Here is a 23,172-nt window from a genome sequence, read left to right as displayed (position 1 = left end):
GGGAGGTGGAGGCTGCCGTGAGCTGTGATCACACCTCTGCACTCCAGCGTCGGTGACAGAGTGAGACCCTGTCTCAAAACAAAAAAAGGATGGAAAAAAAACCTTACTTACTTGTTGAACTTCTGGGCTGAAGCAATCCTCCCGCCTGGGAGTGCTGGGATTACAGGCATGAGTCACCCAGGCCTGGCTTCTTTTCTTATAAGGACATCTGTCATGTTGGATCAGAGTCCCATCCTTATGACCTCATTAAAACTTACAGCCTGGCACAGCAGCTCACGCCTGTAATCCCAGCACTTTGAGAGGCCGAGAAGTGGGAAGCCCAGATGGCAGCCTAGACCCTGGGAACCACAGCAGATGGGGGCTCCTGGGAGATCCACACAGAGGAATCTGGAGCCCAGGAAGCAACCTGGAGGGTACAGGGAAGGGGCTTCAGCCACAGGGAAGGGCCTGGAGGGAAGAGAGCAGGAGCCAGGGCCGCCAGCTATGGGCTGACATCAAGGGCATACTCAAGGTCCTGACTGAGGGGGCCTCGGACACAAGTACCAAGAGGGAGTTTCAGCCAGGCGTGGTGGCTCACACCTGTAATCCCAGCCCTTTGGGAGCTGAGGCGGGTGGATCACGAGGCCAGGAGTTTGAGACCAGCCTGGCCAACATGACAAAACCTTGTCTCTACTAAAAATACAAAAATTAGCCAGGTGTGGTGGCGGGTGCCTGTAATCCCAGCTACTCGGGAGGCTGAGGCAGGAGAATTGCTTGAACCCGGGAGGCAGAAGTTGCAGTGAGCCGAGATCGTGCCATTGCACTCCAGCCTGCGTGACAAGAGCAAGACTCTGTCTCAAAAAGAAAAAAAGAAAAAAAAAAAAAAAAGGAGGAGTTTCAGCAGAAGCCATTTATAGACAGACATGCCTCTTGGGTGAAGGGACTCAAATTTTTTTTTTTTTGAAATGGAGTCTCTATCGCCCAGGCCGGAGTGCAGTGGCGTAATCTTGGCTCACTGCAAACTCCACCTTCCAAACTCAAGCTATTCTCCTGCCTCAGCCTCCCGAGTAGCTGAGACTACAGGCACTCACTATCACACCTGGCTAATTTTTGTATTTTTAATAGAGACGGGATTTCACCACATTGGCCAGGTTGGTCTTGAACTCCTGACCTCCAGTGATCTGCCTGCCTCGGCCTCCCACAGTGCTGGGATTACTGGTGTGAGCCACCATGTCCAGCCTCAAATGTTTTATAAACAGGGTATAATCACTTACCCATACAGGAGGAAAGCTGATAAATAAAACTATATTAAAATCCATTAGAAGACATCCATAAGAGGCCAGGCACAGCAGCTCCTGCCTGTAATCCTAGCACTTTGGGAGGCTGAGGTGGGAGGATCACTTAAGTCCAGGAGATTGAGGCCAGGAATTCAAGACCAGCCTGGGCAACACAGCAAGACCCCATCTCTACAATTTTTTTTTTAAGTTAGCAGAACATGGTGGTGCATGCCTGTAGTTCCAGCTACTCAGAAGGCTGAGGTGGGAGGACTGCTTGAGCCCAGGATCTTGAGGTTGCAGGGAGCTATGATTGCACCACTGCAAAGAAAAGAAAAAGAAAAGAAAGAGAGAGAAAGAGGTATGGAGGGAGGGAGGGAGGGAGGATGGAAGGAAGGAAGGAAGGAAGAAAGAAAGAAAGAAAGAAAGAAAGAAAGAAAGAAAGAAAGGAAGGAAGGAAGGAAGGAAGGGAGAGAGACAGAAAGAGAGAGAGAGAAAGAAAGAAAGAAAAAGAAAGAGAAAAGGAGGGAGAGAGCTGGGGAAGAAGGAAGAAAAGAAGGGAAAGAAAGAAAGAGAGGTAGGGAGGAATGGAGGGAAGGAAGGAAGGAAGGGAGGGAGGGAGGGAGGGAGAACCGTAAGACGTAGAAAGGCAATCTGTGGGATGGGAGATTATTTCTGCAATACATCTGTACTGGGTTGAATAATATACCCCAAGAATTCATTGTCCACCCAGAACCTCAGAAATGTGAGTTATTTGGGAATGGCTGTTTGTAAATGTCCTTACGTAAGCCAAGAGGAGGTCTTGACTTGGGGTCCCAGGGGTACCGCAGATCCCAGGGACTGGAGCAGCACTAGCAAGCTCTGGAGGATGAGCCAGGAGTCTGGAATTGAGGCTGAGCCAAAGACCCCAGGTAAGGGTCAGGGACTTTGTTTCTGGGAACCTGCCAGGTTGGGGTTTGGAAGGAAGTAATGGGCCTTGTTTGGTGGTGGGGAGGGGGGCAAAGTGTGGGGGTTTCTCATTGCAGAAGAGAATTTTCAGAGGATAGACTCCATTGCCAAAGGCAGGGAAAGGCAGAAGTATGGAAAACAGCTGGGGTCTGACATGCTGTAGGCAGCCAGCACTTTCTCTTGAAATGAGAAACATTCTGGCAAAAAAAAAAAAAAAAGAGAAAAAGAGAAATGGATGTTCCCAGAAGAGTGGCAAAGAGAGAGAGAGAGAGAAATATTCTCATCTCAAGGAAGGAGGGAGAGAACGTAGGGAGGCCATGGCTCCCATATTACATTTCCTTAACTGCAGAATTATTTGTTTTGTTTATTCGCCATATCATTTCATTCCTCTTTACTAATTTATTGAAATATAATATACATATAGAAAAGTACGCAGGCCAGGCACGGTGGCTGGCACCTATAATCCCAGCACTTTGGGAGGCTGAGGCAGGAGGATCACTTGAGGCCAGGAGTTTGAGACCAGCCTGGGCAACACAGAGAGACCCCCCCGCCCGCCACATCTCTACAAAAAAAAAAAAAAAAATCAAAAAATGAACTGGGCACGGTGGTGCGCACCTGTAGTCCTGGCTACTCGGGTGGCTAAGGAGGGAGAATCCCTTGAGCCTTGGAAAGTTGAGGCTGCAGTGAGCTATGACAGCATCACTGCACTCCAGCCTGGGTGACAGAGTGAGATCCTATCTTAAAAAACAAGAAAAAGAGAAAAGAAAGGTATGCAAACTCTAAGAGTACAACTCAAAGAATTTCCACAAGGGTTAAAAGGTGAACCAGCACCCAGATAAAGGAACAGAGCATACCAGCCCCCAGAACGCCCCCTTGAAACCGCTTTAAGTCAGTTGCCCCAAAGGGTGACCACTCTTCTGACTCCCATCTTTTTTTTTCTTCTTTTTTTTTTTTTGGACGGAGTCTTGCTCTGTCGCCCAGACTAGAGTGCAGTGGTGTGATCTTGGCTCACTGCAATCTCCACCTCCCGAGTTCAAGGGATTCTCCTGAGTAGCTGGGATTACAGACGCACACCACCACACCTGGCTAATGTTAGTACTTTTAGTAGAGATGGGTTTCACTCGCGTCCATGTGAAGAGACCACCAAACAGGCTTTGTGTGAGCAATAAAGCTTTTTAGTCACCTGGGTGCAGGCGGGCTGAGTCCAAAAAGAGAGTCAGCCAAGGGAGATAGGGGTGGGGCCGTTTTATAGGATTTGGGTAGGTAATGGAAAATTACAGTCAAAAGGGGTTGTTCTCTGGCGGGCAGGGGTGAGGGACACAAGGTGCTCAGTGGGGGAGCTTTTGAGCCAGGATGAGCCAGGAGAAGGAATTTCACAAGGTAATGTCATCAATTAAGGCAAGAACAGGCCATTTTCACTTCTTTTGTGATTCTTCAGTTACTTCAGGCCATCTGGATGTATACGTGCAGGTCACTGGGGGATACGACGGCTTAGCTTGGGCTCAGAGGCCTGACATTCCTGTCTTCTTATATTAATAAGAAAAATAAAACGAAATAGTGGTAAAGTATTGGGGCGGCGAAAATTTTTGGGGGTGGTATGGAGAGATAATGGGCGATATTTCTCAGGGCTGCTTCGAGAAGGATTAGGGGCGGCATGGGAACCTAGAGTGGGAGAGATTAAGTTGAAGGAAGATTTTTGTGGTAAGGGGCGATATTGTGGGGTTGTTAAAAAGAGCATTTGTCATATAAAACGATTGGTGAAGGCCCGGATGCCGTTCTGTATGAATTGAGAAACTAAACGAAAGACACAAGTTCCGAATAAGAGAAGGAGAAAAACAGGTATTAAAGGACTAAGAATTGGGAGGACCCAGGACATCCAATTAGAGAGTGTCCAAGGGGGTTTAGTGTAATTACTTGTTTGGTTGGTGAGTTTTTGGGCTCTGTTTTTGACAGAGTCCTTTTATTTTTTTTTTTAAGTTGAGAGGCTGAGCTTGGGGGGTGTGTCTTTTTTTTTTTTTTTTTTTTTTTGCTTTTGGAGACGGAGTCTCACTCTGTCGCCCAGGCTGGAGTGCAGTGGTGTGATCCCGGCTCACTGCAAGCTCCACATCCCAGGTTCACACCATCCTCCTGCCTCAGCCTCCCGAGTAGCTGGGACTACAGGTGCCTGCCACCACGCTTGGCTAATTTTTTTGTATTTTTAGTACAGACGGGGTTTCACCATGTTAGCCAGGATGATCTTGATCTTCTGACCTTGTGATCTGCCCGCCTCAGCCTCCCAAAGTTCTGGGATTACAGGCGTGAGCCACTGTGCCCGGCTGGTGAGGTGTGTCTTTAAAAAACCATTAGTCCGTTTTACCTTTCCTGAAGATTGAGGATGGTAAGGGGTACGAAGTTTCCACTGAATACCAAGAGCCTGAGAAACTGCTTGGGTGATTTGACTAATAAAGGCCAGTCCATTATCGGACTGTATAGAGGTGGGAAGGCCAAACCGAGGAATTACGTCTGACAGAAGGGAAGAAATGACTGCAGTGACCTTCTCAGACCCTGTGGGAAAGGCCTCTACCCATCCAGTGAAAGTGTCTACCCAGACCAAGAGGTATTTTAGTTTCCTGACTCAGGGTGAGTAAAGTCAATTTGCCAGTCCTGGGCGGGGGCAAATCCCCCAGCTTGATGTGCAGGAAAGGGATGGGGCCTGAACAATCCCTGAGGAGTAGTAGAATAGCAGATGGAACCCTGATAAATGATTTCCTTGAGGATAGATTTCCATGATGGAAAGGAAATGAGAGTTTCTAAGAGGCGGGCTAGCAGCTTGTAACCTACATGGAAGAGGTTATGAAATGACAGAATAGAATGGGCCTGTGAGGCTGGAAGGAGATATTTTCCTTGGTTTAAGAACCATTTGTCTTGTGTGGGAAAAGATTGATAGGTGGAAGTTTCAGTGGGAGAGTAGGTGGGAGTGACCGATGAGAAGAAGAAAAACTGGCCATTGGAACGTTAGCTGCTTCTTTAAAAGCTACCTTATCAGCATAAGCGTTGCCCTGAGCTACGGGATCTGATGCCTTTTGATGGCCCTGCTTTGACTCCAGCTTTCTTTGGAAGTAAAGCGGCCTTGAGAAGAGTTTTTATTAAAGAGGCATTAATGATGGAGGACCCTTACGAGGGAGGAAACCTTTCAGCCCATAAAACAGTATGGTGGCGCAGGATATGGGGTCAGTATAAATATTGACGCGTAGTCCCTTTGCAAGAGTGAGGGCCCGAGTTAAGGCAATGAGTTTGACTTGCTGAGAGGTAGTGGAGGGAGGCAGAGCGGTAGCCTCAATGATAGATGTGGAAGATACTATAGCATAGCCTGCCTTTTTTGGTGAGTGGCGATCAGGCCTGGTGGAACTGCCATCAATAAACCAAATGTGATCAGGGTGAGGAACAGGAAAGAAGGAAATATGCGGAAATGGGGTGAATGTCAGCTGGATCAGAGAGATACAGTCATGGGAGTCAGGTGTTGTATCTGGAATAATGTGGGAGGCCGGATTGAAGTCTGGGCCAGGAACAATGGTAATTGTGGGAGACTCAACAGAGACTGAGTATAGCTGAAGGAGCCAGGGAGCAGAAAGTATATGTGTCAGGTGTGAGGAAGACAATAGATTTTGGAAGTTATGAGAACTGTAGAGAGTGAGTTGAGCATAGTTTGCGATTTTGAGGGCCTCTAAAAGTATTAGGGTGGCAGCAGCCGCTGCATGGAGACATGATGGCTGGCCTAAAACAGCAAGGTCAAGTTGTTTGGACAAAAAGGCTACAGGGCGCGGTCCCGGTCCTTGTGTAAGAATTCCAACTGCACAGCCCTGCACTTTGGCTGTGTGTAATGAAAAGGGTTGGGATGAGTCAGGGAGAGCTAGAGTGGGGGCAGTCTCTAAAGCTGTCTTCAAGGAACGGAAAGAGGAATGGGGAAAGGATTTAGGATCGATAGGGTCAGCTAGGTTTCCTTTTGTGAGTTTATGTAAAGGTTTTGTTAGGATGGCAAAACCAGGTATCCAAAGGTGAAAGTATCCAACCATGCCCAGGAAGGAAAGGACTTGTTGTTAAGTAGAAGGTGTTGGGGTTTGAGAGATCAGTCAGACATGATCGACAGGGAGAGCACGTGTGTTTTTATGAAGAATTATGCCGAGGTAGGTAATGGATGGAGAAGAAATTGGAGCTTTGTGGGGGATACCTGATATCCTTTGGAGAATAAATGTTGAAGGAGCAGGAGAGTGTCTTGTTGAGAAGATTCAAAGGAGGGGCTACAAAGTAGAAGGTCATCAATATATTGAATAAGGTGAGAAGCAGAGGGGTAGAAAGAAAATAAATCATGGGAAAGAGCTTGGCTGAAGTAATGAGGGCTGTCCCTGAAGCCTTGCGGTAGCACAGCCCTGGTAAGCTGCGGGGACTGATGGGTGTCAGGGTCAGTCCAGGTAAAAGCAAAGAGAGGCTGGGATGAGGGGTGCAGGGGAAGAGTGAAAAAAGCATCTTTAAGATCAAGAACAAAATAGTGAGTTGTGGAGGAAGGTATTGAGGACAAAAGAGTGTATGGGTTGGGCACTACGGGGTGGATAGGCAAAACAATTTGGTTGATAAGGTGCAGATCCTGAACTAACCTGTAAGACTTGTCTGGTTTTTGGACAGGTAAAATGGGGAAATTGTAAGGAGAGCTTTTATGTTTTAGAAGCCCATGCTGTAACAGGCGAGTAATAACAGGCTTTAATCCTTTTAAAGCATGCTGTGAGATGGGATATTGCCGTTGAGCGGTGTAAGGGTGATTAGGTTTTAATGGGATGGTAAGGGGTGCATGATCGGTCACCAAGGGGGGAGTAGAGGTGTCCTATACTTGTGGTTTAAGGTGGGGAGATACAAGGGGAGGATGTGAAGGAGGCTTTGAACTGGGGGAAAAGGTGGCAATGAGGTGTGGCTGTAACCCAGGAATAGTCAGGGAAGCAGATAATTTAGTTAAAATTTCTGAACCTAATAAGGGAGCTGGGCAGGTGGGGATAACTAAAAAGGAGTGCATAAAAGAATGTTGTCCAAGTTGGCACCAGAGTTGGGGAGTTTTAAGAGGTTTAGAAGCCTGGCCATCAATATCCACAACAGTTATGGAGGCAAAGGAAAAAGGCCTTTGAAAAGAAGGTAATGTGGAGTGGGTAGCCTCTGTATTGATTAAGAAGGGGACGACTTACTCTCCACTGTAAGAGTTACCCAAAGCATCTGTGATGGTCCAGGAGGCTTCCGAGGTGTTCAGGCAGTGTCAGTCTTCAGCCGTTAAGCCGAGAAGATCTGGGAAGGAGTCAGTCAGAGAGCCTTGGGCCAGAGTTCCAGGGGCTCTGGGAGTGGCTGCTGGGCGAGTTGGACATTCCGATTTCCAGTGGGGTCCCACACAGATGGGACACAGCTTAGGAGGAATCCTGGGCTGTGGGCATTCCTTGGCCCAGTGGCCAGATTTCTAGCACTTATAGCAAGCTCCTGGGGGAGGAGGTTCTGGAGGAACCCCTGGCAGCTGCGGTTCAGGCGTTTGGAAGCTCTTGTGTGATGGAGATGTGGCTGGGGTTTGTCTCACAGTGGGGGCAAGGAATTACAACTTAGAAATACATTGCTACTTGGCTTCCTCTACTCTATTATTGTACACCTTGAAGGCGAGGTTATTAAGTCCTATTGTGCGGTTTGAGGCTGGAATTTAATTTTTGGAGCTTTATTTAATGTCAGGAGCAGATTGGGTAATAAAATAAAATGTATATTGAGAATAAGACGGACTTCTGACCTTTCAGGGTGTAGGGCTGTAAAGCATCTCAGAGTTGCTGCTAAGTGGGCAATGAACTGGACTGGGTTCTTTACCTTGGGTAGTTTCTTTCTTTTTTTTTTTTTTTTTGAGCTGGAGTCTCGCTCTGTTGCCCAGGCTGGTGTGCAGTGGCACGATCTCAGCTCACTGCAAGCTCCACCTACCGGGTTCACGCCATTCTCCTGCCTCAGCCTCCCGAGTAGCTGGGACTACAGGCGCCTGCCACCACTCCTGGCTAATTTTTTGTATTTTTAGTAGAGATGGGGTTTCACCGTAGTCTCGATCTCCTGACCTCGTGATCCGCCCACCTCGGCCTCCCAAAGTGCTGGGATTACAAGCGTGAGCCACCGTGCCTGGCTGGTAGTTTCTTTAAGTTTGTCATAATTAACAGCTTTGTAAGCTGCCTTTTTAAGCCCTTCAACCTGGCAGGAAACCATGTAATCTCACCTAGCTATACCTGGGGAATCAGCCTGATAGTTCCATTTTGGATCTCCTAGGGGAACTGCTCTAATAACTTCCTGGAGGTCTGGCTCGTGAAGCCGGCGGTTATCAGTGTGAGATTGGGCTAGAGAAAAAACTCTTTCCTGTTCATCTGGGGAGAGGGTAGAAGTTAGGATGACATTTAAGTTACTCCAGGTTAAATTGTAGGACAGAGTTAGATATCGGAATTCCTGTATATATTTAGTGGGGTCTGATGAGAAAGAGCCTAAACACTGGCTGATTTGGGAATGTCTGATAGAGAAAAAGGCACATGTACCCTGACTATGTCTTCAGCTCCAACCACCTCTCTAAGAGGAAATTGTTGGACAGGTCGGGGAGGGCTAGTCACGGAACGAAACTGTAAGCCAGACCGGGTGTGAGGAGGGGAGGTGATAGAAGGATGATAGGGTTGGGGAGCAGAGGCTGAGGAAAATTGGGACCTGGTTTGGCCTGGTGAGGAGCAGCCTGGAGAAAAGGGGAGAGGTCAGATGAGTCCATAGAAAAGAAGGATTCAAAGGACTCAGAGCTTGGGGTGGAGACTGAAGGAACAGACAGGAGAGAAAGAAGAAAGATTTGGGATGAGTCTCATTGGGAGCAGAGACTAGGGAGGGACTAATGTGTAAAAGAATGCCTGGACGTCAGGCACCTCAGGCCATTTGCCCATTTTTCGACAAAAATTATCTAGATCTTGTAGGATAGACAAATGGAAGGTGCCATTCTCTGGCCACTTGGAGCTAGTGTCGAGTTTGTATTGGGCCAAGCGGTATTGCAGAAGAAAATAAGACGCTTAGATTTTAGGTCAGGTGAGAGTTGAAGAGGTTTTAAATTCTTGAGAACACAGGCTAAGGGAGAAAAAGGAAGAATGGAGGGTGGAAAGTTGCCCATAGTGAAGGGGACAAGTTTAAAGAGAAGGGTAGAGACATGGAGAAGGGGGGTGGGGAGCAGCCCTGGGCTGCAATGTGGGTGAGCAGCCAAACCAGGTGTCCCCGCAATTGACTTGCCACCAAGGGAATGTGGGTGAATGACCAAGGCAGGCGTCCACGCAGAGATCAGACACCAATGCAACGTGGGTGAATAATCAGAGAGGCGTCCCCGCAATGATTAAACACCAAGGGAAGGCTGCCTTCCCGAGTCCGTGACTGGCGCCGGAGTTTTGGGTCCACGAATAAAATGTGTCTCCTTTGTCTGTACCAGAAAATGAAAGGAATTGAAATTAAGAGAAGGGAGAGATTGAAGGGTGGCGCCAAGATTGAAAGGAAAAAGAGGTTGAGGGATAGTGAGAGAGGTTGGAGAAGAGAGTAAAAAGAGGCCACTTACCCAATTTTAAATCAGTGAGATATTCCTTGGGCTGGTTGGTCTGAGGACCAGAAGTCATAGGTGGATCACTTCATGGAGTGAGGGTGAGGACAGGGGACTGGTCTCCCGAAGGAGTCCCACTGACCTGGGTCTTCAGCACCAAATGTCTCACGTGTCCATGTGAAGAGACCACCAAACAGGCTTTGTGTGAGCAACAAAGCTGTTTATTTCACCTGGGTGCAGGTGGGCTGAGTCCGAAAAAGGAGTCAGTGAAGGGAGATAGGGGTGGGGCTGTTTTATAGGATTTGGATAGGTAAAGGAAAATTACAGTCAAAGGGGGTTGTTCTCTGGCGGGCAGGGGCGGGGGTCACAAGATGCTCAGTGGGGGAGCTTTTGAGCCAGGATGAGCCAGGAAAAGGAATTTCACAAGGTAATGTCATCAGTTAAGGCAGGAACAGGCCATTTTCACTTCTTTTGTGATTGTTCAGTTACTTCAGGCCATCTGGATGCATACGTGCAGGTCACTGGGGATATGATGGCTTAGCTTGGGCTCAGAGCCCTGACAGTGAGTTAGACAGTCCTATTTTCATTGGGGTCCCACACAGATGGGACAAGGCTTAGGAGGAATCCTGGGCTGCGGGCATTCCTTGGCCCAGTGGCCAGATTTCTGGCACTTGAATCAAGATCCTGGGGTAGGAGGTTCTGGAGGAACCCCTGGCAGCTGCGGTTCAGGAGTTTGGAAGTTCTTGTGTGCTGGAGATGTGGCTGGGGTTTGTCTCACAGTGGAGGCAAGGAATTGCAACTCAGAAATACGTTGCTACTTGGCTGCCTCTACTCTATTATTGTATACCTTGAAGGCAAGGTTAATTAAGTCCTGTCGTGGGGTTTGAGGGCCAGAATTTAATTTTTGGAGTTTTATTTAATGTCGGGAGTGGATTGGGTAATAAAATGTAAATTGAGAATAAGACGGCCTTCTGACCTTTCAGGGCCTAGGGCTGTAAAGCCGCTAAGGGTTGTTGTGAAATGGGCCATGAACTGGGCTGGGTTTTTCATATTTGATGAAAGAGCCTAAATGCTAACTGATTTGGGAGAGTTCAGATAAAGAAAAAGGAGCATTAACCTTGACTATGCCTTTAGCTCCCGCCACCTTTTTAAGAGGAAATTGCTGGGCAGGTGGGGGAGGGCTAGTCATGGAACGAAACTGTAAGCCGGACGGGGTGTGAGGAGGTGAGGTGATAAAAGGATTGTAGGGTGGGGGAGCGGAGGCTGAGGAAAAACTGGGACCTGGCTCGGCCTGGCAACGAGCAGCCTGTGGAGGAGGGGAGAGGTCAGATGGGTCCATAGAAAAGGAAGATTGGAAAGACTCAGAGACGCTTGGGGTTGGGACTGAGGGGACAGGCGGGAGGGAAAGAAGCAAGATTTGGGATGAGTTGCATTGGGAACAGAGACTAGCGAGGGACTGATGTGTAAAAGAATGCCTGGACGTCAGGCACCTCAGACTGTTTGCCTATGTTATGACAAGAATTATCTAGATCTTGAAGGATGGAAAAATCGAAAGTGCCATTTTTCTGGCTATTTGGAACAACTGTCGAGTTTGTATTGGGGTCAAGTGGTGCTGCAGAAGAAAATAAGGCATTTAGGTTTTAGGTCAGGTGTCGGTTGAAGAGGTTTTAAAAGTTTTTGAGAACACAGGCTAAGGGAGAAGAGAGAGGAATGGAGGGTGGAAGGTTGTCCATAGTGAAGGAGGCAAGCCCAGAGAAAAGAGAGGGTAGAGACACAGAGAGAAAAGTTAGTGGGTGCTTGTGCCCCAGGAAAGTGGAGAGAAAAGATAGGGTAGAGACACGGAGAGAAGGGGTGGGGAATGCTTGCCTCCCAGGAAAGTGGAGAAGGGGTGGGAGGTGCTTGCCCCCCAGGAAAGTGGAAAAAGGGGTGGGAAGTGTTTGCCCCCCAGGAAAGTGGAGAAAAGGTAGGAGGTGCTTGCCCCCCAGGAAAGTGGAAAAGGGATGGGAGGTGCTTGCCCCCCAGAAAAGTGGAGAAAAGAGAGGGTAGAGACATGGACAGAAGGGGTGGGGGGTGCTTGCCCCCCAGGAAAGTGGAAAAGGGGTAGGAGGTGCTTGTCCCCTAGGAAAGTGGAGAGAAAAGAGAGGGTAGAGACATGGACAGAAGGGGAGGGGGGTGCTTGCCCCCCAGGAAAGTGGAGAAAGGGTGGGAGGGGCTTGCCCTCCAGGAAAGTGGAAAAGGGATAGAGACACAGAGAGAAGGGGTGGGGAGCAGCCCTGGGCTGCAATGTGGGTGAGCAGCCAAAGCAGGCGTCCCTGCAATTGACTTGCCACCAAGGGAATGTGGGTGAATGACCAAGGCAGGCGTCACTGCGGTGATCAGACAACAATGAAATGTGGGTGAATAATCAGGCACGCGTCCCCGCGTGATTAAACACCAAGGGAAGACTGTCTTCCCGAGTCCATGACTGGAGCCGGAGTTTTGGGTCCACGGATAAAACGCATCTCCTTTGTCTCTACCAGAAAAGGAAAGGAACTGAAATAAAGAGAAGAGAGAGATTGAAGGGTGGTGCCAAGATTGAAAGGAGAAAGAGGTTGAGGGATAGTGAGAGAGATTGGAGAAGAGAGTAAAGAGAGGCCACTTACCCAATTTAAAATTGGTGAGATGTTCCTTGGGCTGGTCGGTCTGAGGACCTGAGGTCATAGGTGGATCTTTCTTACGGAGCAAAGAGCAGGAGGACATGGGATTTATCTCCCAAGGGAGGTCCCCCGATCCGAGTCACAGCACCAAATTCCACTCGCGTCCGTGTGAAGCGACCACCAAACAGGATTTGTGTGAGCAATAAAGCTTTTTAATCACCTGAGTGCAGGCGGGCTGAGTCTGAAAAGAGTCAGCGAAGGGAGATAGGGGTGGGGCTGTTTTATAGGATTTGGGTAGGTAATGGAAAATTACAGTCAAATGGGGTTGTTCTCTGGCGGGCAGGGGTGGGGGACACAAGGTGCTCAGTGGGGGAGCTTTTGAGCCAGGATAAGCCAGGAGAAGGAATTTCACAAGGTAATGTCATCAGTTAAGGCAGGAACAGGCCATTTTCACTTCTTTTGTGATTCTTCAGTTACTTCAGGCCATCTGGATGTATACGTGCAGGTCACTGGGGATATGATGGCTTAGCTTGGGCTCAGAGGCCTGACAATGGGGTTTCACCATGTTGGTCAGGCTGGTCTTGAACTCCTGACCTAGTGATCTGCCCCCCCCACCTTGGCCTCCCAAAGTGCTGGGATTACAGGCATGAGCCACCGTGCCCGGCATGACTCCCATCCTTTAAAGATTAGTTTTATGGGCATGGTGGCTCAGGAGGCTGATGCAGGGGAATAGCTTGAGCCTGGGAAGCAGAGGTTGCAGTGAGCTGAGATTGAGCCACTGCATTCCAGCCTGGGCAACAGAGCAAGACTCTGTCTCAAAAAAAAAAAAAAAAGTGCAAAGAACCCTTAATAGACATTTCTCAAAGACATACGAATGACCACCAGGTACATTAAAAAAAAAAATGCTCAACATCACTAATCATTAGAGAAATGCAAATCAAAACCACAGTGAGATATATCACTTCACACCATTAGAATGGCTATTTATCAAAAAGACAAGTGAAGCCTGGGCAACATGGCAAAACCTCATCTCTACCAAAAAAAAAAAAAAAACCACACCAAAAATACAGAAACTAGCCAGACATGGTGACACACACCTGTAGTCCCAGCTACTCAGGAAGCTGAGGTGGGAGGATCGCTTGAGCCCAGGAGGTCAAGGCTGCAGTGAGCTATGATCGTGCCACTGCCCTCCAGCCTGGGTGACAGAGTGAGACCATGTCTCAATTAGAACAAAACATTTAAAAAGGACAAATGATAAGTGTTGATGAGATGTGGAGACAAGGGAACCCTCGACTCTGTTGGTGGGAATGTAAATTGGTTCAGTCATTATGGAAAACAGCAGGGAGTTTCTTCAGAAAGTTCAAATAGGCAATAGGAGTGCCAGTACATCCCAGCAACCTCACTTCTGGGTACCTATCAAAGGTAATTGAAATAAATATGTCGGCTGGGGTTGGTGCCTCATGCCTGTAATCCCAGCACTTTGGGAGGCCGAGGCGGGTGAATCACCTGAGGCCAGGAGTTCGAGACCAGCCTGGACAAACATGGTGGCAACATGCAGAGGCTGCAATGAGCCAAGATCGTGCCACTGCACTCCAGCCTGGGCAACAGAGTAAGACTCCATCTCAAAAAAAAAAAAAAGATTAGTTTTGCTTGTTTGGTTTGGTACTTTACACAGGTGGAATCCTACAACATTATTCTTTCTTATCTAGCTGCTGCTGCTTTTTTTTTTTTTTTTTTTTTCTGAGACAGGATCTCACTCTGTTGGGTAGTCCTGAGCTTTGAACTCCTGGGCTCCAGCAATCCTCCTACCTCAGCCTCCCAAGCAGCTGGGACCAAAGGCATGTACCACCAAACTCAGATAATTTTGCTTACTTTTTGTAGAGATGGAGTCTTGCTATATTGCCCAGGCTTGTCTCCAACTACTGGGCTCAAGCGATCCTCCTATCTCGGCTTCCTAAAGTGCTGGGATTAGCAGTGTGAGCCACTACACCTGGCTTATATCTGACTTTTTCCCCTCAGCATTAGGTTGTGAGTTGCAAGTAACTGTAGTTCATTCTCACTGCGGAATAGTATTGTATTATGTTATTAAATGACAATTTATTTTCCATTCTACTATTGACAGACATGAGGGTCATTTCCAGTTTGGAGCTATTATAAATAATGCTGCTATGAATATTCTAGTGTGTGTCTTTTGGTGGACATAGGAACACGTTTTTGTTTTTGTTTTTTAAGATGGAGTTTCACTCTTGCTGCGCAGGCTGGAGTGCAGTGGTGCAATCTCGGCTCACTGCAATATCCACCTCCCAGGTTCAAGCGATTCTCCTGTCTCAGCCTCCTGAGTAGCTGAAATTACAGGTGTCCACCACCACACCCGGCTAATTTTTTGTATTTTTAGTAGAGACCGGGTTTCACTATGTTGGCCAGGCTGGTCTCAAACTCCTGACCTCAGGTGATCCACCCACTTCGGCCCCCCAAAGTGCTGGGATTACAGTTGTGAGCCACCGCGCCTGGCCATGAACACGTTTCTGACGGGTACATGCCTAGGAGTGGAATTGCTCGATTATAGAGTGTGCATATGTTTGGCTTTAATAAATACTGCCAATAGTTTTCCACCCCACCCCCAGCAGTATGACTTGCCATGCACCACATCCTCACTAACGTTTGATGTTTTCTGTCTTTTTCCATTGTAGCCATCTGGTGAGTGTGTGCATAGTGGCACACTGCGGTTTAAGTGTGTATTTCTGTGATGACTAATAAAACCAAGTTGCTTTTTATATTCACCATGTGGGTTTCCTTCTCGTAAAGTGTTCACGCCTCAGCCATTATCTTTCTTTTTTTCTTTCCTTCTTCTTTCTTTCTTTCTTGCTTGCTTTCCTTCTTCCTTCCTTCCTTCCTTCCTTCCTTCCTTCCTTCCTTCCTTCCTTCCTTCCTTCCTTCCTTCCTTCCTTTTTGGAGTGCAGTGATGCAATCGTAGCTCACTGCAGCCTCCACCTCCTGGCCTCAAGCGATCCTCCTGCCTCAGCCTCCCAAAGTGCTAGGATTACAGGAGTGAGCCACCATGCCCAGCCCCAGCTAATTAAAAAATTTTTTTGGCTGGGTGTGGTGGCTCACACCTGTAATCCCAGCACTTGGGAGACCGAGGCAGGTGAATCACCTGAGCTCAGGAGTTCAAAACCAGCCTGGCCAACATGGTGAAACCCCATCTCTACCAATAATACAAAAATTAGTCGGGCATGGTGGTGTGCGCCTGTAATCCCAGCTACTTGGGAGGCTGAGACAGGAGAATCGTGTGAACCTGGGAGGCGGAGATTGCAGTGAGCTGAGATTGTGCCACTGCACTCCAGCCTGGGCGACAGAGTGAGACTCTGTCTCAAAAAAAAAAAAAAAAAAAAAGAGTGTGAACTAATTTGAAAATAGGGCCTTTGCAGAAGTAATTAGTGAAGAGGAGGACATACTGGATTACAGTGGGCTCTAAATCCAATATGTCTTTATAAGAAGGCCATGGAGGGTGGTGGCTCACTGCTGTAATCCCAGTACTTTGGGAGGTGGGAGGATGCCTTCAGCCACTGCACTCCAGCCTGGGTGACAGAATGAGACTCAGTCTCAAAGAAAAAAAAAACTAAAAAAAGGAAAGTTCAGTCTAAAGAAGAGAACATCAGGGCAAACATGATCATGGCTTCAGCGGATACTGTCAGGTAACTCCCCGTATCCCTTCAGCAGTCACTTTTGTAAACCAAAGGCCACTTCCTGGGGACTCTTCCTGAGGGCCTTGTTCCTGGTCACAGAGAACCCTCAGTTTGATCATAACACAAGCCAGGAGTGTAGGGTGCAGCCCTCAACCAGTGACAGCAGGGAACTGGGGGGTACCTGACCCACCCGCTAAGCCAGCTCTGAGGTCTGCCCTGCACAGGCTCCCAGAACTCCTTGGCTGCTCACGCCATGCCCTGCTTAATAACTCCCCTTGCGTTGCTGCCTCTGCTTCCTTGCCTCAGTTTCCCCCTCCTCTCCTGGGGCTCCCGTGGAATCACCTCCCAAATAAAGGACTTGCACCAGAATCCTTGTCTCAGGGCCTGCTGGAGGAACTGAAATAAAAACAACGATCTTCAAATCTGCCTAAGCCTCAATTTCCTTTATCTTCCAAAATAAAAGACAAGTTAAGCATTTTTGTAAAGAACAGGGTCAATAGGTAGAAGAAATGGGAATATAGATTTCAGTCAAAAAAGAATTTGTTTTTTTTCCTTCTGAAATGGAGTCTCGCCCTGTTGCCCAGGCTGGAGTGCAGTGGCGTGATCTCAGCTCACTGCAACCTCTGCCTCCCGGTTCAAGCAATACTCCTGCCTCATCCTCCCAAGTAGCTGGGATTACAGACACGCGACACCATGCTCAGCTAATTTTTGTATTTTTGGTAGAGACGGAGTTTCACCATGTTGGCCAGACTCATCTTGAACTCCTGACCTCAAGGTATCCACCCCCATCAGCCTACCAAAGTGCTGGCATTACAGGGGTGAGCCACCGGGCCCGACCAATAATTCTTTTTTTAAAGAGACAGAGTCTTGCTCGGTCACCTAGGCTGGAGTGCAGTGGCATGATCATAGTTCACTGCAGCCTTGAACTCCTGGGCTCAAGTGACCCTCCTGCCTCGGCCTCCTGAGTAGCTGGGCCTACAGGTGCACATGCCACCATACTCAGTTAATTTTTATTTAATTAAAAAAAATAGGCCGGGTGGGGTGGCTCACACCTGCAATTTCAGCACTTTGGGAGGCTGAGGCGGGCAGATCAGTTGAGGTCAGGAATTCGAGACCAGCCTGGGCAACATAGTGAAACCCTGTCTCTACTAAAAATACAAAAATTACCCGGGCATGGTGGTGCATGCCTGTAATCCTAGCTACTCAGAGGCTGAGGCAGAAGAATCATTCGAACCCAGGAGGTGGAGGCTGCAGTGAGCTAAGATTGTGCCACTGTACTCCAGCCTGGATGACAGAGCAAGACTCTGTCTCAAAAAAACAAACAAACAGCTGGGCATGGCGGTTTATGCCTGTAATCCCAGCACTTTGGGAGGCTGAGGCAGGTGGATCACTTGAGGTCAGGAGTTCGAGACAAGACTGACCAACATGGTGAAACACCATCTCTACTAAAAATACAAAATTAGCCGGGCGTGATGGCGCATGCCTGTAATCCCAGCTACTTGGGAGGCTGAGTCACGAGAATTGCTTGAGCCTGGGAGGCAGAGGTTGCAGTGAGCCGAGATTGTGCCATAGCACTCCAGCGTATGCAACAGGAGCAAAACTCCATCTCAATAAAAACAAAAACAAAAACAAACCACCCTCTCATGATCATCCAGACTGTTGTGCCTGGTTTGAGTGACAGGCAACTCACCATCTATCCTCTTCCCACCTACAACAGCTCTGACTATCACAAACTTCTGTTAAGTTCTTTTAAAAATTTGGCTGAAGCCAGGTGTGGTGGCTCTCCCCTATAATCCCAGTGCTTTGGGAGGCTGGAGTAAGCAGATCGCCTTGAAGCCAGGAGTTTGAGACCAGCCTGGCAACCTTTGGGCTCTACAAATTTCTTTTTTTTTGTGACAGAGTTTTGCTCTTTTTTCTTAGGCTGGAGTGCAATGGCACGATCTTGGCTCACTGCAACCTCTGCCCCCCAGGTTCAAGTGACTCTCCTGCCTCAGCCTCCCAAGTTGCTCGGATTACAAGCATGAGCCACCACAAAATTAGCCCGGCTAATTTTTGTATTTTTAGTAGAGACGGGGTTTCACCATGTTCGCCAGGCTGATCTCAACCTCCTGACCTCAGACGATCCCCCTGCCTCTGCCTTCCAAAGTGCTGGGATTACAGGCGTGAGCCACTGTGACTGGCCCCACACACACACACAAAATAATAATAATAATTGACCAGGTATGGCCAGACGTGGTGGCTCACTGTAATCCCAACATTTTTGAAGGCCAAGGTGAGACAGTCACTTGAGCCAAGAGTTTAAGACCAACCTGGGCCACATAGAGAGACCTCATCTCTATTTTTTTTTCTTTTTTGAGACAGTCTTGGTCTGTCGCCCAGGCTGGAGTGCAATGGCGGGATCTCGGCTCACTGTAACCTCTGCCTCCTGCATTCAAGCGATTCTCCTGCCTCAGCCTCCCTAGTAGCTGGGATTACAGGTGCCCGCCACCGTGCCTGGCTAATTTTTTTATTTCTAGTGGGGACGGGGTTTCACCATGTTGACCAGGCCCTCTCTCTCACTATATATATATATTATTTGTTGTTGTTTGTTTGTTTTGTTTTGTTTTAAGCCTCGGGTGATTGTGATGATCTGTCAGGTTTGGGATCTGTTAGATCTCTCAAATGCCCCCAGCCAGCCCTGGCCCTACAGGTGTGGCCCCAAGAAGATGGGCTGGCACCTGCCTGGACCCTGTTTTTAAATATCCATTGTCGAGGTTGGGCTACTCTATGATCACATCTTGAGACCATCCAGAGCTCCACACAGAGATAAGCAATGCTTAGAAAGGAAACAAAACTTTGCCCAAGAGCCAGAAACCTATCTTCAACAACCAATTGTGCTATAAAGTAACTTAGTTCAGTTCACTGGAATATTACTTAATTTCCTCTGCTTTTTCTTTTTAAACAAGAAAGTGTTGACTCAGCCAACAGCACTGGGAACCAGACTCCCTGGGGCCTGCCTGCCCCTGCTCTTCTCCCAAATTCTCTTCTTTTTTTGTCCCTGTTGATGGAATTCAATAAAGGGATCTCTACCATCTGTCACTTGTTTTTTTTTGTTGTTTGTTTGTTTGTTTTTTTTTTTTTTGGCAGAGTCTCACTCTGTCGCCCAGGCTGCAGTGCAGTGGTGCCATCTCAGCTCACTGCAACCTCCACCTCCCAGGTTCAAGTGATTCTCCTGCCTCACCCTCAGGAGTAGCTGGGATTACAGTTGCCTGCCACCATGCCCGGCCAATTTTTGTGTTTTTAGTAGAGACAGGGTTTCTCCATGTTGGCCAGGCTGATCTTGAACTCCTGACCTCAAGGGATCCGCCCACCTCGGTCTCCCAGAGTGCTGTGATCACAGGCATGAGCCACCACGCCCAGTGCCAGATTATCTTTCTTCACTGTCTAATTTCATTCCTATGAGTATTAGTTTACTTTTCCTTTGTTGGGTCAAAAGTGCTGCTTCTGTTCCCAACCACAGAATTCTCTGGAATTGTTTTCAGGGCCGTCTCAGTCTCATAAAAGGGGATCAGGCAGGAGGAGTTTGGGAGAAACCTGAGAAGGGCCTGATTTGCAGCATCATGATGGGCCTCTCCTTGGCCTCTGCTGTGCTCCTGGCCTCCCTCCTGAGTCTCCACCTTGGAACTGCCACACGTACGTAGCTGGCCCATTCCCCTCCTGGGGTTCCTTCCCGGACCGCCTGGGAGTGGATGGAAATGAGTATCTCCAAACCCTTCCTCTCCCTGATTTTTAGGTGGGAGTGACATATCCAAGACCTGCTGCTTCCAATACAGCCACAAGCCCCTTCCCTGGACCTGGGTGCGAAGCTATGAATTCACCAGTAACAGCTGCTCCCAGCGGGCTGTGATGTGAGTATTTCTCGGACGTACTTTCTGGGGCCCCATCAGTCATGCAACAGGATGGGTGCTGGGCAGACCCCCAGGATGAGCCTTGGGATGGGAACCTGGAAACCCCACCTCTGCACACTAACAAGTGTGACTCTGAGCTTCAGGTAGAACCTGACTTTTTTTTTCTCTTTTTGAGACGGAGTTTCTTTCTTGTTGCCCAGGCTAGAGTGCAATGGCACGATCTTGGCTCACTGCAACCTCCCCCTCCCGGGTTCAAGCAATTTTCCTGCCTCAGCCTCCCAAGTAGCTGGAATTACAGGCACATGCCACCATGCTCAGCTAATTTTTGTGTTATTAGTAGAATTTCACCATGGTTGGCCAGGCTGGTCTTAAACTTCTGAGCTCATGTGATTTGCCCGCCTCAGCCTCCCAAAATGCTGGGATTACAAGTGTGAGTCACTGGACCCAGCCAATCCCCACTTTTAATAAACTCACAGTGAAGTAAGAGCTCAGGAATCATCAGCTATGATGAATAACCTTGAAAATGTGGCTAACAATTAAATGACATGTTGAGTGCAGGGTTCCTTTCTGGGGTGATGAAAATATCCTAAAATTGATTGTGGTGATGGTTGCATAATCTATGACTATACTAAAAACCATTGAATTATAATTATAGCCTTTAAATTGGTGGAGTTGTACATGGTGGGGAGGTTTAGACGATCGCTTGAGCCCAGGAGTTCAAGGCTGCAGTGAGGTATGATCGCACCACTGCACTCCAGCCTGGGTAACACAGAGAGACTTCATCCCTAACAAAAGAGAAAAAAAAGAGTGAATTACAGTTATCCCCCAGTAACCACAGGGGATTGGTGCCAGGATTTTGGCATACAATTTCCCCTGAATTTATGCAGCTTTTGCATCACCGAGTTTTGTATTTTCTATCCTCCTTTGGTTGGCAAAAGGCTGCCTATGAGTGGGCCCACAGAGTTCAAATCCGTGTTGTTCAAGAGTCAACTGTATGTGCCGTGTGAATTATATCCCAACAAAGCTGTTCTATTACAATGAAAGAATCAGCCAGGTGAGGTGGCGCAGGCCTGTAAGCCCAGTTACTCCGGAGGCTGAGGCAGGAGAATCGCTTGAACCCGGGAGGCGGAGTTTGCAGGAGTAGAGATCGCGCCACTGCACTCCAGCCTGGGTGACAAGAGAGAAACTGTTTCAAAAAAAATAAAATAGGCCGGGCGTGGTGGCTCACGCCTGTAATCCCAGCACTTTGGGAGGCTGAGGTGGGCAGATCTCCTGAGGTTGGGAGTTCGAGACCAGCCTGACCAACGTGGAGAAACCCTGTCTCTACTAAAAATACAAAATTAGCTGGACGTGGTGGCGCATGCCTGTAATCCCAGCTACTTGGGAGGCTGAGGCGGAAGAATCACTTGAACCTGGGAGGCAGAGGTTGTGGTGAGCCGAGATCGCGCCATTGCACTCCAGCCTGGGCAACAAGAGTGAAACTCCGTCTCAAAAAAAATAAAAAATAAAACAAAATAAAGGCTAGGCGTGGTGGCTCACACCTGTTATCCCAGCACTTTGGGAGGCCAACACAGGCGGATCACCTGAGGTCAGGAGTTCGAGACCACCCTGGCCAACATGGCAAAACCTTGTCTCTATTAAAAACACAGAAATTCGCTGGGTGTGCTGATGCGTGCCTATAATCCCAGCTACTTGGGAGTCTGAGGCAGGAGCATCACTTGAACCTGGGAAATGGAGGTTGCAATGAGCTGAGATCATGCCATTGCACTCCAATGTGGGCAACAGAGTGAGAGTTCGTCTCAAAAAAAAAAAAAAAAAATTAAGTGTCCTGGTGCAGGTTACATGCTGCAGGCTAGAACTGGTGGAAAACGGTAAATGGTACCTGGTAGAGGTGGGTCTGGAGGCATAGTTTCCAGTGGAAATCAAGATAGGAAAGAGGAGGGAGACAAGGCCCAGGAGAAGAGGGGACAGGGACAGAGAGCAACAAGTTTGTGGCAAGGCCAGAAGACTAGTGAGAGAGCTGCCCCTCCTTCCCTTTCTATCCCACCCCAGGAGGCAAAGAGTCTCAATATTGACTTATCCGTGTCTCTTTTTCACAGATTCACTACCAAAAGAGGCAAGAAAGTCTGTACCCATCCAAGGAAAAAATGGGTGCAAAAATACATTTCTTTACTGAAAACTCCGAAACAATTGTGACTCAGCTGAATTTTCATCCGAGGACGCTTGGACCCCGCTCTTGGCTCTGCAGCCCTCTGGGGAGCCTGCGGAATCTTTTCTGAAGGCTACATGGACCCGCTGGGGAGGAGAGGGTGTTTCCTCCCAGAGTTACTTTAATAAAGGTTGTTCATAGAGTTGACTTGTTCATAACATTTTTTGTCCATAAAACCCGAGTTTTCTTTAAGGAAAGAAAATTGATTCAATATGGATGGCTGGTTGCCTGGGAGGTCCCCAACCCCCGGGCAGACCCCGATACGGAATTCTGCCGTGGGTTTTTGTTTGTTTGTGCAAAAAAAAGCAAGGGTAATTTTAATACACTTTGGTAAAATGCTTGGTGAATTTTTTAACATTATTTAGAGAAAAAAGTTTAGTTTATTTGGAAAAGTAAGTTCTGTGCAACACCTCACAGCCTGTCAGTGCCGTGTAAATGTAGTAGCTCCGTGTTTGGCAGCGCTTTCTCTTAAGAAAGCAAGACACTAATTAGTTAATGTGAATATTATCTACCTACCAAACTGCGGGTGCGTTGTCTATATAGCTTAAATAAGCTTTTTACAAAAATAATCAGCCGGGTGCAGTGGTTCACGGCTGTAATCCCAGCACTCTGGGAGGCTGAGGTGGGAGGATCACTTGAGCCCAGGAGTTTGAGATCAGCCTGGGCAACATAGTGGCACCCATCACTACAAAAAAATTTAACAGTTACTCAGACGTGGTGGTGGGTGCCTGTAGTCACAGCTACTTGGGAGGCTGAGGTGGGAGGATTGCTTGAGTCTAGGAGGTCGAGGATACAGTGAGCCATGATCACACCACTGCACTCCAGTCTGAGCAACAGAGCAAGACCCTGTCTCAAATAATAATAATAATAATAATAAAGACTAACCTGGGCACCACAGTGAAACCCTGTCTCTACAAAAACACAAAAAATTAGCCAGGTGGGGTGGCACACACCTGTGGTCCCAGCTACTC

The 23,172-nt window shown here is 48.1% G+C and overlaps 1 protein-coding gene across 3 annotated transcripts, besides 7 other annotated features; it reads left to right on the top strand.

Moving 5' to 3' along the window:
- On the top strand, positions 284-22,357 carry CCL26 (C-C motif chemokine ligand 26). Of its 3 annotated transcripts, none has more exons than NM_001371936.1 (4): positions 284-413; positions 19,627-19,777; positions 19,878-19,992; positions 22,092-22,343. In NM_001371936.1, the coding sequence occupies exons 2-4, from the start codon at positions 19,705-19,707 to the stop codon at positions 22,186-22,188; spliced, it is 285 nt and encodes a 94-aa protein (NP_001358865.1). In that variant the 5' UTR covers positions 284-413; positions 19,627-19,704; the 3' UTR covers positions 22,189-22,343. The 3 variants fall into 3 exon arrangements, with proteins under 3 accessions (NP_001358865.1, NP_006063.1, NP_001358867.1); NM_006072.4 differs by lacking the exon at positions 284-413 and adding an exon at positions 2,135-2,164 and having other exon boundaries at positions 22,092-22,357; NM_001371938.1 differs by lacking the exon at positions 284-413 and having other exon boundaries at positions 19,670-19,777.
- Positions 2,619-3,477: an enhancer, noted in NCBI's record as "OCT4-NANOG-H3K27ac hESC enhancer chr7:75417722-75418580 (GRCh37/hg19 assembly coordinates)". NCBI's record gives its function as "activates a minimal SCP1, AML or CMV promoter by ChIP-STARR-seq in naive H9 embryonic stem cells {active_cell/tissue: H9 hESC(naive)}" and the evidence as "EXISTENCE:reporter gene assay evidence [ECO:0000049][PMID:30033119]".
- Positions 3,478-4,337: an enhancer, noted in NCBI's record as "OCT4-NANOG-H3K27ac hESC enhancer chr7:75416862-75417721 (GRCh37/hg19 assembly coordinates)". NCBI's record gives its function as "activates a minimal SCP1, AML or CMV promoter by ChIP-STARR-seq in naive H9 embryonic stem cells {active_cell/tissue: H9 hESC(naive)}" and the evidence as "EXISTENCE:reporter gene assay evidence [ECO:0000049][PMID:30033119]".
- Positions 11,054-11,222: a silencer, noted in NCBI's record as "fragment chr7:75409977-75410145 (GRCh37/hg19 assembly coordinates)". NCBI's record gives its function as "represses an EF-1alpha promoter that drives an FKBP-Casp9 reporter gene in an ReSE screen in K562 erythroleukemia cells {active_cell/tissue: K562}" and the evidence as "EXISTENCE:reporter gene assay evidence [ECO:0000049][PMID:32094911]".
- Positions 12,319-12,886: an enhancer, noted in NCBI's record as "NANOG-H3K27ac hESC enhancer chr7:75408313-75408880 (GRCh37/hg19 assembly coordinates)". NCBI's record gives its function as "activates a minimal SCP1, AML or CMV promoter by ChIP-STARR-seq in naive H9 embryonic stem cells {active_cell/tissue: H9 hESC(naive)}" and the evidence as "EXISTENCE:reporter gene assay evidence [ECO:0000049][PMID:30033119]".
- Positions 12,887-13,454: an enhancer, noted in NCBI's record as "NANOG-H3K27ac hESC enhancer chr7:75407745-75408312 (GRCh37/hg19 assembly coordinates)". NCBI's record gives its function as "activates a minimal SCP1, AML or CMV promoter by ChIP-STARR-seq in naive H9 embryonic stem cells {active_cell/tissue: H9 hESC(naive)}" and the evidence as "EXISTENCE:reporter gene assay evidence [ECO:0000049][PMID:30033119]".
- Positions 15,135-15,264: an enhancer, noted in NCBI's record as "active region_26181". NCBI's record gives its function as "activates an Ori minimal core promoter by ATAC-STARR-seq in GM12878 lymphoblastoid cells {active_cell/tissue: GM12878}" and the evidence as "EXISTENCE:reporter gene assay evidence [ECO:0000049][PMID:35858748]".
- Positions 18,856-19,150: a silencer, noted in NCBI's record as "tiled region #12151; K562 Repressive DNase matched - State 5:Enh". NCBI's record gives its function as "represses a minimal TATA promoter and a strong SV40 promoter by Sharpr-MPRA in K562 cells {active_cell/tissue: K562}" and the evidence as "EXISTENCE:reporter gene assay evidence [ECO:0000049][PMID:27701403]".

The sequence above is a fragment of the Homo sapiens genome, chromosome 7 (genome assembly GCF_000001405.40).
Source record: "Homo sapiens chromosome 7, GRCh38.p14 Primary Assembly".
Taxonomy (NCBI): Eukaryota; Metazoa; Chordata; class Mammalia; order Primates; family Hominidae; genus Homo; species Homo sapiens.
The sequence above is the reverse complement of the archived record's forward strand: the minus strand, read 5'-3'. Positions and strand labels throughout refer to the sequence as shown.